The sequence below is a fragment of the Homo sapiens genome, chromosome 16 (assembly GCF_000001405.40).
Source record: "Homo sapiens chromosome 16, GRCh38.p14 Primary Assembly".
NCBI lineage: Eukaryota > Metazoa > Chordata > Mammalia > Primates > Hominidae > Homo > Homo sapiens.
The window spans coordinates 74,444,235-74,460,849 of NC_000016.10; the positions used below are offsets into that span (position 1 = coordinate 74,444,235).

Genomic DNA, 16,615 nt, shown 5'->3' on the forward strand with positions numbered 1-16,615 from the left:
CATTCCTGGGTAATTTTTTTACTCAGCACTGTGACTCTGCAAAATTCCGCTCTGCTTTAGAGAGGTCTAAGCTTAGTGTTTCAGGTTTGCATCTTGTGTATTCAGATTTCACCAGATGGCTTGAGACCTAGCCATCTATTCGAGGCCATTCAAGCCTCCAAATTTTGTCACTCCGGCTGGTGAGACTATAAAAACATAAAAAACCTGGATCCTCAGCCTCTGGCCAGAGTTGGCAAATGCAAGTGGCTGCAGGCTGTCAGCTCTCCTCTCTACAATCCTGACCCTTTAGTTACTGTTGCCTCTGCAACTCACTTAAACCAAAACCTCACCTCTGGCTTTCATTTTCCTTTGTAAATCTCCATCTTAAGGACTTCACAGGCCGGGCGAGGTGGCTCACGCCTGTAATCTCAGCACTTTGGGAGGCCAAGGAGGGAGGATCACCTGAGGTCAATAGTTCAAGACCAGCCTGGCCAACATGGCAAAACCCCGTCTCTACTAAAAATATAAAAATTACCCAGGAATGGTGGCGGGTGCCTGTAATCCCAGCTACTCGAGAGGCTGAGGCAGGAGAATCGCTAGAACCCAGGAGGTGGAGGTTGCAGTGAGCTGAGATCGCATCACTGCACTCCACCCTGGGCGGCAGAGTGAAACCCTGTCTCAAAAAGAAACCAGTAATTCCAGCATTTTGGGAGGCCAAGGCGGGTGGATCACTTGAGGTTAGGAGTTCAAGACCAACCTGGCCAACATGGAGAAACCCCATCTCTACTAAAAATACAAAAATTAGCTGGGCATGGTGGCATGTGCCTGTAATCCCAGCTCAGGAGGCTGAAGGAGGAGAATCGCTTGAGCCTGGGAGGCAGAGGTTGCAATGAGCTGAGATTGCACCACTGTATTCCAGCCTGGGTGACAGAGCGAGACTGTCTCAAAAAAAAGAAAAGAAAAAAAGAAAAACATCTGGGAAAGTATTAGACTCAGTCTCTGGTTCTGTCCCCAACTCTCTGGGGCCCCTTGGGTGAGTCTTTTACCTTCTCTGGGCCTCAGATCCACCCGCCTACCTATTACACCCAGTTCTGAGGCTACAGAGTGAACAGAAAAGAAAACCACTGCTGTCCTTACAGAACTTAAGCCTAACTTTTCCATCTATAAAATGGGGATACTACAACCTCCCGGAGAGTAAGTGAGCCAGAGAGCTTGCTCTTTGGGAGGTGGCAGTGGCAGACAGGAAAAGCCCATGGAAACACAATGTCAGAGGTCAGCCCAACCTTTCACCTGGGCCTGTGTGCCCTGCAGTGAAACTTGAACAGATCTTCACTGCTGTCACCTACTGCTACCTGGGGCTGTTGGGTGCAGCTCAGTTCTATGGCCTGATCCTGGTTGCTCTCTGAAGAAATCCCTGCTATTTGGCCCACCCTAAGGGGTCTCCCAGCCAAATGGGTCAAGGAGCAGTCCCTGGCTCCAAGACCCAGGCAGGAGAAAGGCATAGTCCTGCCAGGGCCCTGGAGTATGACAGCCAAGCACTAGCAACTGCCTAGTCCTCAGAAGAGCGGCCTGTGCTCCAGCCCCTACCTCCTCATTTGAGCCAACTTCCTCCTAGTCTGCTGCCCCTGTTGCCCCTCTCCTCCTGGCTTTTCTCTTCCACATCGTCCAAGTGTCTCCCCAAGTACAGAGTGTTTGAGAAGACACTGTTCTGCTGTGGGTTGTTGTGGGCAAGTGAGGTAGGGATTTAGGGCCGAGGCCGAGAGCTCCCAGGGAAGGCCTGTCTGGGGAGTCTGCAGCATCCTGCGTTGGGGATGTTCCTATCTTCTCCTACAACCCAATGGCAGCTGGGGTTTTAGTTTGGTCATTCATTCAGGTCCCCAGGCTAATCTGGCCAGTGAGAGGGACAGTGCCTGGTGGGGCAGGCATTCCTGGGCACTGCTGATCAGCTGTCTGAGAAGGGCCTCCCCTCTCTGCACCTCACTTTTTCATCAAGTGAGAATTGGATGTCTAAGGTTCTCCTCATTTTGGCTAAAACTCTTTAATTCCTAGCCCCTTTTGAGGACAAATGCCAAATGCCTCTGAGGATTATGTTGGCCAAGGATTTTTTACCAGAAACATCTTCACACATAAAATGTGAGGGTGGGGGCGATACATTCAGACTATTAAGGCTTCAGCTGGGCAGCTGTCTCCATCACCGCCAGGGCCTCTGGGGCTGTGGCGTCCACTTATGGGGCAGAGTGGAGCTGGGGTAGGTGAACCAAAATCTCCCTTGTAGGGTGCACTGGTGACAAGGAGCCTGAACCATGGACCCCACCTTCCTAAGCTTAGATCAAAGCAGGCAGCCTCTCCAAGACGCTCACGGACAGGCTCCCCACATGCAGAGACTGATGGCTGCCTTGGGCTCCCTAGACAGAGCAAGATCTGCAGTGATGACTCACAAGGACCCCAAGTCCCTCCTCCTTCTTCCTCCTCTACTCTTCACCTTCTCCCCGTCTCTCCTCTATGTCTGGGCCCACAGCCTCCTAGGTGACAACTGCCTATGATGGGCATGAGTTCTGAGAACAAACCCTGGGTCCCAAGTATCTGCCTCCTCTCGCAGCACATCTCATTCCTCAAATCGTAGTATGGATATTACCACTTCAAGAAACCCCTGCTACCATGCAAATTCCTGAAGCCATTCATTTTTAACACGCAGACGCAAATTAACTTCGCCGAGACAGGCAGCAGCAGAAGGCTCAGGGAGGAGGTCTGGAAAGGCTACTGACGCAGGGACTGGGCTGCTGGAATGTGAGGGAGAAGACTGACAAGGGGGTGATGGGGAAGGGTGGCCACTGAAGATCAGGCGCCTCTCAGGACCAGCCATCCACACGTCAGATCTGTACACAGAGCTGCCAGATTCTGCTCTCCCCAGGACAGAGCCTCATGATGTGGGCTTAAACATATCAGTAGAATGAATAATTCTGGACACATTGGCTCAAGAGTCAGAAAACCCCAGACGTGACTTCCAGCTCTGCTACTAGCAGCATACAGAAACCAAGGGGATCAAGGTCCCTAGTCCTCTAAAAGTCCTTGAGTCCTACTCTGCTGAACCTAACTGGTCAAGAACTAAGGACCTGATCAGCAAGGTTTGTGAGCATCAGTTGGCAAGTTCAAGGCCACTGCTTCCACTAGCAGAGAGGTGGTTGAGGTTCCTCCCAGTCACCACAGAGAAGATTTAACAAGTAAAAACCTGCAAACTCTTTATTAAATTCTCCCATTTCATCTGTACAGAAAAAAATGCACATTATGTTCAGAACATATCTCAGTAACATCTCAAAATTACACAGCATGAACATGTAAAAACAAGGGACCACCACGATTTTATACATAGAAAGGAAACCCATTTACAAAAGAGGCTTGTTAATTGTATTTTTTTCTTTCTTTCAAAAACAAAACAAAACAAAAAAAGTGAAAAGCCTAAGATCTCACACAGCATTTGCTGTACAGACTGTTTTCCGGATGGACTGGTTTGGGAACACTGTGCTGGGGGAAGCTGCCCAGGAAGCGCTCCCGCTGCCGGCTTTCCGGAGGTCTCTGCCCAGTGCACTGCAGGGGGACCTGGAGGGCCCATTTCTACCACCCTAGCATGTCTGACAGAAAGCCCTGCTGGGCTCTGGGGTCCAGATGTCAACTCTACATTGGAGGAGGCAAAACACAATCTAGAGGCACTGTCTGAACTTTCCCCTGGCCCAGGGAGATTTCTCCACTGCACACAGCACAGTGTCCTATACATGTGTCCTGGTGGAGCAGAGGGAGCGGGAGAGGACCACGGGTCAGGATCCTGTCACCACCAGCCTGAGCAGACAGTCCCATCTTTGTGATCCAGGTGACAAATAATCAGTCCCTGGTCCCCACAATGACCTCACCAGATGGCTTTGGGGAGCTCTTCACCCTAAAGATTCGGTCTGGTTTGCTAATGACTTATCTATTATCTGAAGTCTGTGGAGGAAGGACCAAGAAGGGGTGCAGTTAGAGGGATGAGCAACCAAAGACCAATGGGAGGGAAGGCAGGCAAGAACCTCAGACCCGGCCCCACGCCCTCTAGGAACCAAAGTCTAGTGGAGAGGAGGCGAGTGGGGAGGAAGGAAGTGTCCCTCAAGGCCTGAGAGAGACCCACAGCACCAGATGCTGCATTTTACAAAACCACTTAGGTGCTGCCCAAATGGTGAGAAATAAAAGGAAGCATTCTGGCCTTTCAGGTTTTTCAAACTCACAAGATGTTGAAATACAAGTAAATATACCAAAATGCACATAATTGAGGCCAAGGTGGGTGGACCACATGTGGTCAGGAGTTCGAAACCAGCGTGGCCAACATGATGAAATCCTGTCTCTACTAAAAATAAGAAAAAATTATCCAGGCATGGTGGTGCATGCCCGTAATCCCAACTACTTGGGAGGCTGAGGCAGGAGAACTGCTTGAACCTAGGAGGCAGAAGTTGCAGTGAGCCGAGATTGCGCCACTGCACTCCAGCCTGGGCAACGAGTGAAACTGTGTCTCAAAAGAAAAAAAAAAAAAAGGCCAGGCCGGGCGTGGTGGCTCACGCCTGTAATGCACTTTGGAAGGCCGAAGTGCACTTTGGCCGAAGTGGGCCACTTTGCGGCCACTTTGGAAGGCCGAAGTGGGCACATCATGAGGTCAGGAGATGGAGACCATCCTGGACAACACGGTGAAACCCCGTCTCTACTAAAAATACAAAAATTAGCTGGGTGTGGTGGTGCATGCCTGTAATCCCAGCTACTCCGGAGGCTGAGGCAGGACAATCGCTTGAACCAGGGAGTCGGAGGATTCGGTAAGCTGAGATAGCGCCACAGCACTCCAGCCTGGCAACGGAGTGAGACTCCATCTCAGAAACAAAACAAAAAACCAAAAAAGCCATTACGGCCAAAATTTAGGCTGACTGTTCTAGGGCTGGCTGACTTCCAAGGTTCCTGGTCCAGCTTCCTTCTTCTTAGATTAAGTTCTGACTTAGAGTGTGTTCTAAGGAGGCAGGGGAGGAAATGGGAAGGGAAGGCCTCTTTTCAGTGGCCTCTCCCCAGATGACTCACTATAGTAGGAACTTCGGGGCAGAAGTCACACCACAGGCCTGGAGGATGGGAGGATAGGAGACACTTCCAGAAGCCACACTGACATAAGAACAGAATCTTCTCTTGGGAAGGCCAAGGGAAGTCAGCCACATAATTCCCTTTCCAGTGTGCCTTGATAAAACGTAAAACATGAATGAAGACACTCTCACCATTAGATTCTTCTGTTAGTTGATCTCAGGAAACAGAAACAAATGAAATCTGACAGTAACTTTCTGTAGCATCTTCAGGGAAAGCTGTCTCTTCACCAGGATGCATCCCCACCCTGGCCAGCTGAGTGACTCACTGTTCCCAAGAAGAGTAAGGACAGCATGAGACAGCCAAAGGCCTGCAGTGTGTTCAAGTCAATACCTGCTCACTCAACATTAGCTCACTGGTCACCCTAGAATTCTCCTAGCTTTGAAGGATGCACTAACACAGAACTGCAGCTGGGGGTGGTAGCCCGGGGAAGATCGCTTTCCCGGGGGTGATCCCAAGCCTATGGAGTGCATGGCTCCCCTGCCGGTGCTTCTTGCTAACGGGCTTGTCTAGGGACAACAGCAACAGCAATGGAAGTCCAACATGCACCCAGGTGAAGGCCTCACAGAGCTCCCCATCTGTGGGAGAAGCTCCATTGTGAACAGTTCGTCTTGTTCTTAATAGTTTGCCCAGACAGCTCACCTTCAGTACCCCAGAGCCTCCAGCCTGGCAGTCCGGGCTCCAGGTACCTCTAGAGGGCTGTGGCGCACACTATGCATAAGTCACAGGGACACTGGCATGAACTGGTAAGTCCAGATGACAGTGACCCAGCTGCTATAACTGTTAGCAAGTACCTGAAGCCTTAGCCTTGGCAAAACCCCCTACCCTCTACTTCTATTACTGTTGGTGGGCTACACATCAGGAGAGTAGACACAGGCCAGAGTCCATCATCCACTCACATCCACAGAAGGGTCATTGTTTCTTTTCTTGACCATTTCTCAGCCAGTTGACTGACCTATAAGGCCAGGAACCAGGGGTGCCCCAGGCCCTGTTTTGTTTTGCCAAATGAGGGACTTAATGAGTGCGGCCAGTTCAGACTTTGCTGGCCTTGGCACTTAGAAAAACTTGCTCGGGGCCCTGCCTGGGGCTCTCAAGAGCCAGTCATTGGAAAATGCTCCAAGTAAGATGATGAAAGACATTCTTGTAATAAGTAATTGAAGATACTGGCAGAGCTAACTTTTCTATTCTGACCATTTATAAAGATGACAAATGTTTTGGCCAGGCAGGGTGGCTCACACCTGTAATCCCAGCACTTTGGGAAGCTGAGGCGGGTGGATCATGAGATCAGGAGTTCAAGACCAGCCTGGCCAAGATGGTGAAACCCCATCTCTACTAAAAATACAAAAATAAGCCAGGCGTGGTGGCGGGTGCCTGGAATCCCAGCTACTCAGGAGGCTGAGGCAGAGAATTGCTTGAACCCAGGAGGTGGAGGTTGCAGGGAGCTGAGATCGCGCCACTGCACTGCAGCCTGGGCAACAGAGAGATACTCTGTCTCAAAAAAAAAAAAAAAGACAGATGTTTCAAGAACCAAATTCCTCATCAAACTTCCAAATCTGCAGACAACGAATGGGATTTTCTCTCAATTCAGAAAGAACAGAAATATCAACACAATTAGAACTATAAGGGTGTTTACGCATACTGGGAAGGAGACTGCAGAGAGGAAGGATACCCCACCCGGTCAAACAGTGAACATCCATCCTACCTGCAAACCACACCAGGCACGTCCGTAGGCACCTCCATGTACATGACATTCCTGGCTCTTGATATTAGGCCTCAGCGGCCCCCAGCCCCCAGGGGAACCTGCAGAGACTCTCGGGCCGCTCACTCCGGCTGGCAGTGGCGGGAGGCAGTGTGTGCTGCTCGCACCCTGCGTTTCCAGTTTTAGGAGACTGAAGCATCCCAGACAGCTGTTGACAATCAGGAAGACCCTACAAGCAGGACCGAGGGGACTAAGCAGCTTAGCAGCTTCCCTTGGTGACTTGGCAGGGGGACAATCAGTTGGCTTCTGGAACCCACTGCCTCCAGGAAGGGCAGCAAATAGAAAAAAAAGAAAGAAAACCACAGTATTCAAATATATGTCAGTCAGGTTAGACAAGGAGTAACTTGGATCAACTGATCCACAAACTGACACGCCTTGTACTGAACACCCTTCAGGGAAGACATGTGTCGCTCCGGTCCTGCAGTGCACGTGGACTGTGCAGAGCAGAGGCAAGAGTGGGGGGCGCCGAGGGCAGGCCTTGGTCTACATGGACAGTTTTAGGCACGTGATTTATAATACTTTGTGGACATCTAACAGGTTAATAAAATATATATTACATAAATGTCTCTCCTACTGTACACACTGCTCTCTTGTGCAGCCACTGTGATCTCATGCCCCAAACTCAACCAAAGGAGTGCCACGCTGAACCATGATGCCCGGACCCCTCCCTCTCACACCCAGACTTGTCATCTCCACACTGGAGGAATGAGGCGGGATGGCCAAGAATATTGCTTCTATAAAGCCCATATTCTGCAAAGGTTGATGAATCGCCAAAATACAACATTTAGCCAATGCCTACTAGAGTGGGTACACGCAGCAAATGGACAGAAAGAAAAAAAACAGAGCAAATCCTCCATCTTTTAATGTGATAACTTTCCACACCCTCTCCACGTAGAGGCACAAAGGAGCTTGTCTGGGAAGTTTGTCTGGAGTGTGCAGAAAGGTCAGGCTGGACTGCCTGTCACATCCTGAGACCACACTAAACCTTTATAAGCCATTGTCTCTGACCTGTATTGTAGCCTGAAAAATAAAGCAAAGTGAGTCAAACCTCTGGCTCCCACTTCCTGACCCACTGCTCCCCACACCCATCTTCAAGGACCCCTCCCGCCACAGTCCTGCCTCCTGATGAAGCGCAGAGCTTCCAGAGTGACTGTAGCCTCAGCAGGGCCGGTCCAGACATGGCTGAGTCCTGTGCTGCCCTGGAGGAGGAAGGTTCCTGGGATCCTGCTGCCCCGGGACTCAGGATCCAGCCTCTCAGTGCAGATGGATGGACTGTTCAACTTCACAAACTTCCGGTCCCTTCCCCTCCCCAGCTGCCCTTGTCTAGGAAGGCTCATGCTTTGCTTCAATGAAGCGAGGAGACCACAGAAATACCCATGGCTGTGGGGCTGTGACCAGCAGTGGCTGATTAGGGTGGAAACTGGAAAGCGTCACTGTCTCAGCAGAAGAAAGCAGGACCCCACACAGCCTGGGGAACGGCTGCCCACCCACGCCTCGGTGAAGACCACGGCCCTGGCGAGGCCCCAAGGTGCTTCTGAGAGATGAACGAGACACCTCAGTCATGGCACACTGGGTGGTGTGCTTCCCCTCCAAGTCCTGTCTTTGTTTTACACAGTCATATGAAAGACATAACCCCATTGCCCAAATCAAGCCTGGAGGAGATGCGTTACTATATACATTTTTTTCTTTAAAAAAATTTTTTTTTTTGGTGGTTTTCTTAAAAAAGCCTTTGAGTTGCAGGTCAGGTGAGTTGGTTCTGGAAGTACCGGAAGTTCTGTTGGTATGAGAGAGACTTGTCTACAGGCAGGTAAACCCAAGTTTGCCAAACAAAGGCAGTAACCCCAGCGACCAGCTGCTGCTGCTGCACGGTGAGGAGGAGGAGGACACCATGGACACGAGTGGAGGCTGGATGGGACAACGCAGTGGACATCTGCTAATGCTCTAACACGGGGTTGGTGTCACTTCTGAGAAGAGCGAGGTGAGTGGGGATGCTATACAAGAGGGCTGTACAAACTGGGCACTGGATAGGTAGTTCCTTTGGTGGTCAAGGTGGCTCTACCTGTCCTTGAGCTCTCGTGTCACTCGCTTGGTGATCCGTCCACACATCAGGCCAATCAGGAACAATATACAGATGCTCCCACTGATCACAGAGAGAATGTAGTTCTTAGATGGAGACGTCATTACTTGCATGGCAAGATCAGAGAAGCCATCTGCTGGGGCCACCTAGAATGACACAAGGCAATGTGATTCTCTGAGAGAGCACTGGGCTGGTGGCAGTGCTAGGTCTAACTTATCCCTCTCAGTTCCTAGTTTAATTTATGTCTTTTCTTTTGGAGAGGGAGGGCAGGAGATAAGAAAAATCAACACAGAGCTACAACTCTTTTTCCTGATCATAAAACTATACACACGTCTACTGCACAAAATTAGAAATACAGAAAGAGACAAAGTGGTGCAGTCACCCACAATTCCATCACAGTGATCACCACTAACACCAGGACACTGAAGATGTGTCGGGCCCTGGACGAAGGGCTCCCCCTGCCCTCACTCATTTAGCACTCACACCAAGCCTAGCAAGCAGATTTCACCACTCCCATACTCTGGATGGAGAATCAGTGCCCAGGGGTGAGTGTGGTTAAATGACTTCTATAAGGCCATGGGTTCTTCTATCTTTTGGTTTATGCTCTTTAAATGCGTTTGCTGCCTTTCTTTAAAAAACAAAGATAAAAGTTGACATCGTTTTACATATTCTATATTTTGTAAATTCTATTTTTTTTTTTTTTTGAGACAAAGTCTTACTGTTACCCAGGCATTGTGCAGTGGCATGATGTCAGCTCACCACAACCTCTACCTCTCAGGTTTAAGCGATTCTCCTCCCTCACCCACATGAGTAGCTGGGACTACAGGTGCACGCCACCATGCACAGCTAATTTTTTTGGTATTTTTAGTAGAGACGGGGTTTCACTGTGTTGGGCAGGCTGGTCTTGAACTCCTGACCTCGTGATCCGCCCACCTCGGCCTCCCAAAGTGCTGGGATTACAGGCATGAGCCACTGCGCCCGGCCTTGTAAATTCTATATTATTTCTAAATTTTATATTTTGGCTTTTTTTTCATTGAGTTGGGGTCTCGCGCTGTTGCCCAGGTTGGTGTACAGTGGTGCGATCACAGCTCACTACAACCTCAAACTCCTGAGCTCAAGGGATCCTCCTACCTCAGCCTCCTGAGTAGCTGAGACTACAAGTGCACCACCATGCCTGGCTAATTAAAAAATTTTTTTTGGCCAGGCATGGTGGCTCACGCCTGTAATCCCAGCACTTTGGGAGGCTGAGATGGTGGACCATGAAGTCAGGAGTTCAAGACCAGCCTGGCCAACATGGTGAAACCCTGTCTCTACTAAAAATACAAAAGTTAGCTGGGCGTGGTGGCGCTCGCCTGCAATCCCAGCTACTGGGGAGGCTGAGGCAGGATAATTGCTTGAACCCGGGAGGCGGAGGTTGCAGTGTGCCAAGACTGCACTACTGGACTCCAGCCTGGGCAACAGGACGAGAATCCGTCCCCAAAAAAAAAAAAAAAAAAAAAAAAAAAAAAAAAATTTTTTTTTTTGTTAGAGATGGGGTCTCCCTATGTTGCCCAAGCTGGTCTCGAACTCCTGGGCTCAAGTGATCCTCCTGCCTCGGTCTCCCAAGGTGCTGGGATTATAGGTGTGAGCCACTGCACCCAGCCTGTATTTTGACTTTTTTCATTCACCATTATATCATAAGCATTTCCCACATCAAAAACAATGTGCAGGCCGAGACCAGCCTGGACAACATAGCCAAGACCTTGTCTCCACAAAAAATTATAAAATTAGCTGGGTGTGGTGGCGTGCACCTGTGGTCCCAGCTACTCAAGGAGGATCACTTGAGCCCAGGAGTTCGAGGCTGCAGTGAGCCATGTTCACACCACTGCACCGCAAACAAGACTTATATTGACAGAATATATTTAACCGCCCTCCACTTGTGGACATTTATAATTTAACCTCAGCTATCTTTCATCCTCAGTTTTCCACTGCTTTCCCTAACGGACCTTGATGGTAGCCTGCTATGGCAGAATCAGGACCAAAAGGGTCCCCAGGTGCACATGTCCCCATTCTTTTGCATCCCAGCCTGGCTGCTGAGATGGTGTGGCCCAGAGGCATCTGGGCTGTTTCTATGCTCATATCACGTACACAGAACAGAGTAGGGAGGCGTGAGATGAATGAGATTTGAGCTCCAATAGTTGCCAACACAAAACAAGCCGTGAATTACTCTGAGTCACTCTGAAGCAATAATACACAGCTCAAAGGACTGGACACAATGAGGCAGAATGAAGTAACGCAGCATCTCCTGCTGCCGCTTCCCTGAGCCACCGGCTTTAAAGGCAACTTTCTTCCCTTGGCAGAAGGGTGAGGAGAGTGTTGACTACTGTGACAGACAGGAGCCCTCCCTTGTACCTTCCTGCTGTCGACCTATGAAGACTTTCTCTGATTGTTCCTCTTGACTTGTTACCCTTGACTTGGAAGTAAAAGGGTGATAAAATTGGCCAGGAAGGAGGGGTGGTCCTGGGATTACTCTCTTGATCTTAGGCCACTGCAGATGTCTATCCCAATATGAGTCAATACAAAAGCATGGCTCTAAAAACCAGAGGGACTCTGGGCAAGTCGTGACCTCTGAAGTCAGTTTCCTTCACTGTAAAGTGACGAAACAGTCATTATACTTACCTCACAGGGTTTCAAAGTTCAAATCAGGCAATACGTCCACCAAAGCGTTATGTAAACTACAAAGCAATGTATGCACGAGAAGAACTGTTATTCTTCTCACTGAGGCTGAACCTCTGTAGGAAAAATTACCCCTAGCCCAAGTCTACCTGGGTATCATACACATTCATGAGTGTCCTACAGTCTTTCTTCATCCCCTTCTTCTCCATGTTCCAGACCAGATGAGTACTGGCCTCAAATATGTATTTTTCTCCTAAAGACTGTAAAATGATAAAAGCAAGCTTCATCATAGGCGAGGCTGGATTTCTTTCTTTTGCCATGGGTGTGACATCTCTTTTGTCTTTGGGTGACTCACTTTTCAGCGGTGAACAGTGGGCGAAATGAGAAAGGAGGGCCCTGGCAAAGCCTTGCAGACAGCCCGATGCACAGGGAGACGGCTCCAGGCTCACGGGCAGCCAAGGAATTCTAAAAGCACACTGACCATGTTTACTGTTTTTTAGTAGAGACGGGGTTTCACCGTGTTGGCCAGGTTGGTCTCGATCTCCTGACCTCGTGATCTGCCTGCCTCGGCCTCCCAAAACGCTGAGATTACAGGCGCGAGCCACCGCGCCCGGCCCTGACCACGTTTTCAAACGCACTTATTGCTAGTCTCACAATAAGGACAAGACCAGTGCGATATCTAAAAGAGGCTGGACAGCCACAGCGAGGAGAGTGGCATGGCCTTTGCTCAAGGATGACATGCAAATTGGTGAAGTGTTCCATATTTTTTTGTTTTTTTAAAAAAGGAGATTCTCTTGGTCATTACCTTTGCTGCGTAACTCCACATCTCAATCCGGTCATTGAGGCGCTTTTTGCACTCGGGCTGTAACCTCACCCGCTTATCCTCCAGTGCTTCCATGAGACAGGACATTTCTGTGGGAGGAAATGAATAATAAGAAGAACCTGAAACTGTACAGAATAGAGAAATTTCTGTAAAGATGAGGAAGAGGGTGCACAACCACCAGAGAATTCAGATCTGCAGGCTCAACAAAGTTAAATACATACTAGGAAACTTGATCCAGGATCCAACAATGGAGAGAAATGATATGTAACCTCCAGGGTTGGCGTCCGAAGCCTCTCTTAAAACCTCCTTATTTTTAGAGCCAGGTGTGGTGGCAAACACCTGTAATCCCAGATACTTGGGAAGCTGAGGCAGGAGGATCCCTTGAGCCCACGACTTTGAGACTACATTATAGTAAGACCTTGTTTCAAAAAATTAAAACGAAAACAGGCTGGGCATAGTGGCTTATGCCTGTAATCCCAGCACTTTGGGAGGCCGAGGTGGGTGGATCACTTGAAGTCAGGAGTTTGAGACTAGCCTGGCCAACATGGCAAAACCCTGTCTGTACTTAAAAAATACAAAAATGAGCCAGGCATGGTGGTGGGTGCCTGTAGTCTCAGTTACTCAGGAGGTTAAGGTGGGAAAATCACTTGAACCCAGGAGGCGGAGGTTGCAGTGAGCTGAGATCATGCCACCACACTCCAGCCTGGGTGACAGAGTGAGACTCTGTCTCAAAAAAATAAATAAAAATACAAACAAACAACTTCTATTAGTTTTATTGGGTATACGTGGCTCAAAAAGAACTCTCACACTTGCCTTGGCTCCCTCCTCACACAGAACCTGTCTACTGAGTCCACTGTCGTCACCGGGGAAGTGTGTGAAGCTGGCTTCTAGTTTCGGCACCAGGAAAAGGACCATGATGATGACTTTAACTTCTGCTTCCCTAATAAATACCTCAATTCTCCCTGTTCATCAAATCTTTAGCTCCAGTCATGACAAGGCCAGTTCAAACTCGCAGGCTTATTCCTAAATTCATGATGCCATAAAGGTCTAGTTTTGGCATCACCCAGGTCCCCAGGGAATGTTGTCTATGACTGGGCTACAACTACAGACCATACAGACCACAGTAGCTGCAACTGATGTCTAAGAGGGAGTCTTTGCTCTTCCCAAGAGAGTTCAGACAGGATCAAGAGTGAACACAGAGACTTACGACGCCCGCGGCCAGGGGTGATGGCTGCGCAGTGGTGTTTAATGTCCAGGGCACAAGCAGTATGAAGTACCGGGTCAACAAAGATGTCTGCTTTGCTTTCCTTCAGCATGTTTAGCACTTCCTGGAAAGGGAGGGTCATTGCAGACAGAGCTTTTGAAGGGGAAATGCATCAGATCTGTTGTCTGTAAATACTTCATATACTAATAAAAAAGGGGGGAAGTTGAGGGCTAACAACAGAGACCACTTTGGGACAGGTTGCAAGGTGGTGATGATGTACAGAATGCAGAATTTAATTGAGTAACTAACTACTTTTAGGGATACAAAACTGTGTGTTGGAAAAAAGCAGGGGACTGTAAGTGACTGTAAGATCAGATTTGTGTTTTTGGCATTCCCGTATGTCATGTCGTATCATTTTAAAATACCTAAACGTTAATATTTTTATTGGTGTGATACAATTACTGTGTTACTTTAAGAAATATGAAAACGTGAAATCTTAAAATCAGAGTAATATGCTATATTAAAATTCTCAATCGGGACTGGGGGTGGTGGCTTATGCCTGTAATCCCAGCACTTTGGGAGGCCGAGGTAGGAGTCTGAGACCCGTGTGGGTAACACAGCAAGACCCCCATCTCTATAGAAAATTATTTAAAAAAAAATTAGCTGGGCATAATCGTGTGCCCTGTGGTCCTAGCCACCTGGGAGGTTGAGGTGGGAGGACTGCTTGAGCCCAGTTTGAGGTCCAGTGAGCTATGACTGCACCACTGCACTCCATCCTGGGAGACAAAGTGTGACCCTATCTCAAAGAAAAACAAAAACAAAAAAATACCAATTAGATAAAGGCACATTTGTTTACAAAATGTTCTACTTTACCTCTGTTGTCCTCAGAAAGAAAAACAGAAAGGACAGGGCATAACATCTACTACAAGAGCAATTCTTATTTGTGTTTACAGATGTCCTGAATGAGAGGAATATCAACATGATGGAACTGAAATCAACTCTGCAGATTCTCCATTTATACATAAGGGAACTATGGGAGGTAAAGATAGGCCAGAAATGTTTCCATAAATAAAAGTTAGTATGCTCCAGACAAGACTCTAGTCCCTATAAAACAACAGTAAGAGAAATAAAAACCAAAAACCAAAGGCCAAATAATATTCTAAAATCCTCCCCAAAGTTATATGGGATCATGTGATGATAAAAGAGGCAAAGGAAAATATACGGATCTAGCTTTCCACATTTTTAACAGACGAAAAAATGTGCACACAATGTTCTCAATTATTCAATAATGACATCAGTGAAATTCTTTTTTAAAAGGTTAATTTTGGCTGGGCGCGGTGGCTCACACCTGTAATCCCAGCACTTTGGAAGGCCGAGGCGGGTGGATCACGAGGTCAGGAGATCAAGACCATTCTGGCTAACACAGTGAACCCCCGTCTCTACTAAAAATACAGAAAATTAGTCAGGCGTGGTGGCGGGCGCCTATAGTCCCAGCTACTTGGGAGGCTGAGGCAGGAGAATGGCGTGAACCCGGGAGGCAGAGGTTGCAGTGAGATCACGCCACTGCGCTCCAGCCTGGGCAACAGAGCGAGACTCCGTCTCAAAGAAAAGAAAAGAATATTCACATTATAGGAGATGAGCAGTCAAAATCAAATGAAAGTTTGGTAAGAAGGAACAGCAAGAAAAGAGTGCTGGGCAGAAGGTTGAGATTTTTGGTTTTATTACCAAGGTAGGCAGACTACAGCATTAAAAGGAAGAAGAGAAAAAAAAAAAAAGAAATGAAGTGAGGAAAAGAAGGTGACGGTGGTTACCTTTTTACACAATTCTGTTTTGATCTTGAGCAGGTTGACCTTGAGGCACTCCTCCACCTGACCTGTCTGCTCTTGGGCTGCTGCTTCTTCAGCACATAGACTGGAGATCTGTTCAGGAGACACAAAAAACAAAGCTACCCCACTGAGCACAGAAATGAACTGACAGTTTCTTCTTTTTTTTTTTTATTTTTTGAAACAGAGCCAAGCTCTGTCACCCAGGCTGCAGTGCAGTGGTGCGATCTCGGCTCACTGCAACCTCTGCCTCCTAGGTTCAAGTGATTCTCCTGCCTCAGCCTCTTGAGTAGCTGGGACTACAGGCGCGTGCTACCATGCCTGGCTGATTTTTTTTTTTTTTTTTAGACAGAGTCTTGCTCTTGTTGCCCAGGCTGAAGTACAATGGCACGATCTCGGCTCACCGCAACCTCTGCCTCTCATGTTCAAGTGATTCTCCTGCCTCAGCCTCCTGAGTAGCTGGAATTACAGGTATGTACCACCATGCCCAGCTAATTTTGTACTTTTAGTAGAGACAGAGTTTCTCCATGTTAGTCAGGCTGGTCTCGAACTTCTGATCTCAGGTGATTGCCCACCTTGGCTTCCCAAAGGGCTGGGATTACAGGGCATGAGCCACCGCAACTGGCCTGATTTTTGTATTTCTAGTAGAGATGGGGTTTCGCCATGTTGGCCAGGCTGGTCTTGAACTCCTGACCTCAGGTGATCCTCCTACCTTGGCCTCCCAAAGTGCTGGGATTATAGGCATGAGCCACCACACCCGGCCTGAACTGACAGTTTCAAAAGCAGATGAGTCCGGTGATTCCAATCAGCTCTGGACACCGCAGGATCTGTGCCCCCTCTTCACTGGCCTACTGCTGTTTTACAAGCCAGGGGCAGTAGCACTGCTATCACCAGAACCCTTGGTCTCTAAACATGTCAGTTTGATGATCGTCCCACACCTGTGCCAGGGCTCATCACAAACAGTTTCCTGGGGGTTTCGTGCCCCTCCTCCTATATTGGATGCCAGGCTTCATTCTTCACAAGGACTGGCACACAGAGTGGAAAATCAATAAATGTCATATCTTTACACTGTAAACACTGAGACTTGAGTCAGATCTCAGGACTTGTCAAAAAGAAGGCTGCTACTTGATTCCACAGGAGCAAGGTTATATATAAC

The 16,615-nt window shown here is 48.5% G+C and overlaps 1 protein-coding gene and 1 pseudogene across 5 annotated transcripts in view; one reads left to right on the forward strand and one right to left on the reverse strand.

The window, feature by feature from the left end:
• Nucleotides 1–3,205: 3,205 nt before the first annotated feature.
• Nucleotides 3,206–16,615, reverse strand: part of GLG1 (golgi glycoprotein 1) — a 159,675-nt gene continuing 146,265 nt past the window's right edge. For 3 of the 5 annotated variants that reach the window (NR_027265.2, NR_027264.2, NM_001145667.2), the window contains 4 exons: nt 15,448–15,555; nt 13,640–13,760; nt 12,415–12,521; nt 3,206–9,100 (listed from right to left, as the gene is read on the reverse strand). Coding sequence is in view for 3 of the 5 variants with exons in the window: in NM_001145667.2 (NP_001139139.1) it covers nt 8,933–9,100; nt 12,415–12,521; nt 13,640–13,760; nt 15,448–15,555 (504 nt within the window). In the remaining 2 variants the exon portion in view is untranslated. The remainder of the gene's footprint in view (nt 9,101–12,414; nt 12,522–13,639; nt 13,761–15,447; nt 15,556–16,615) is intronic. The other 2 variants (NM_001145666.2, NM_012201.6) reach the window with 1 other exon arrangement.
• RNU6-237P (RNA, U6 small nuclear 237, pseudogene) lies at nt 12,307–12,377 on the forward strand (annotated as a pseudogene).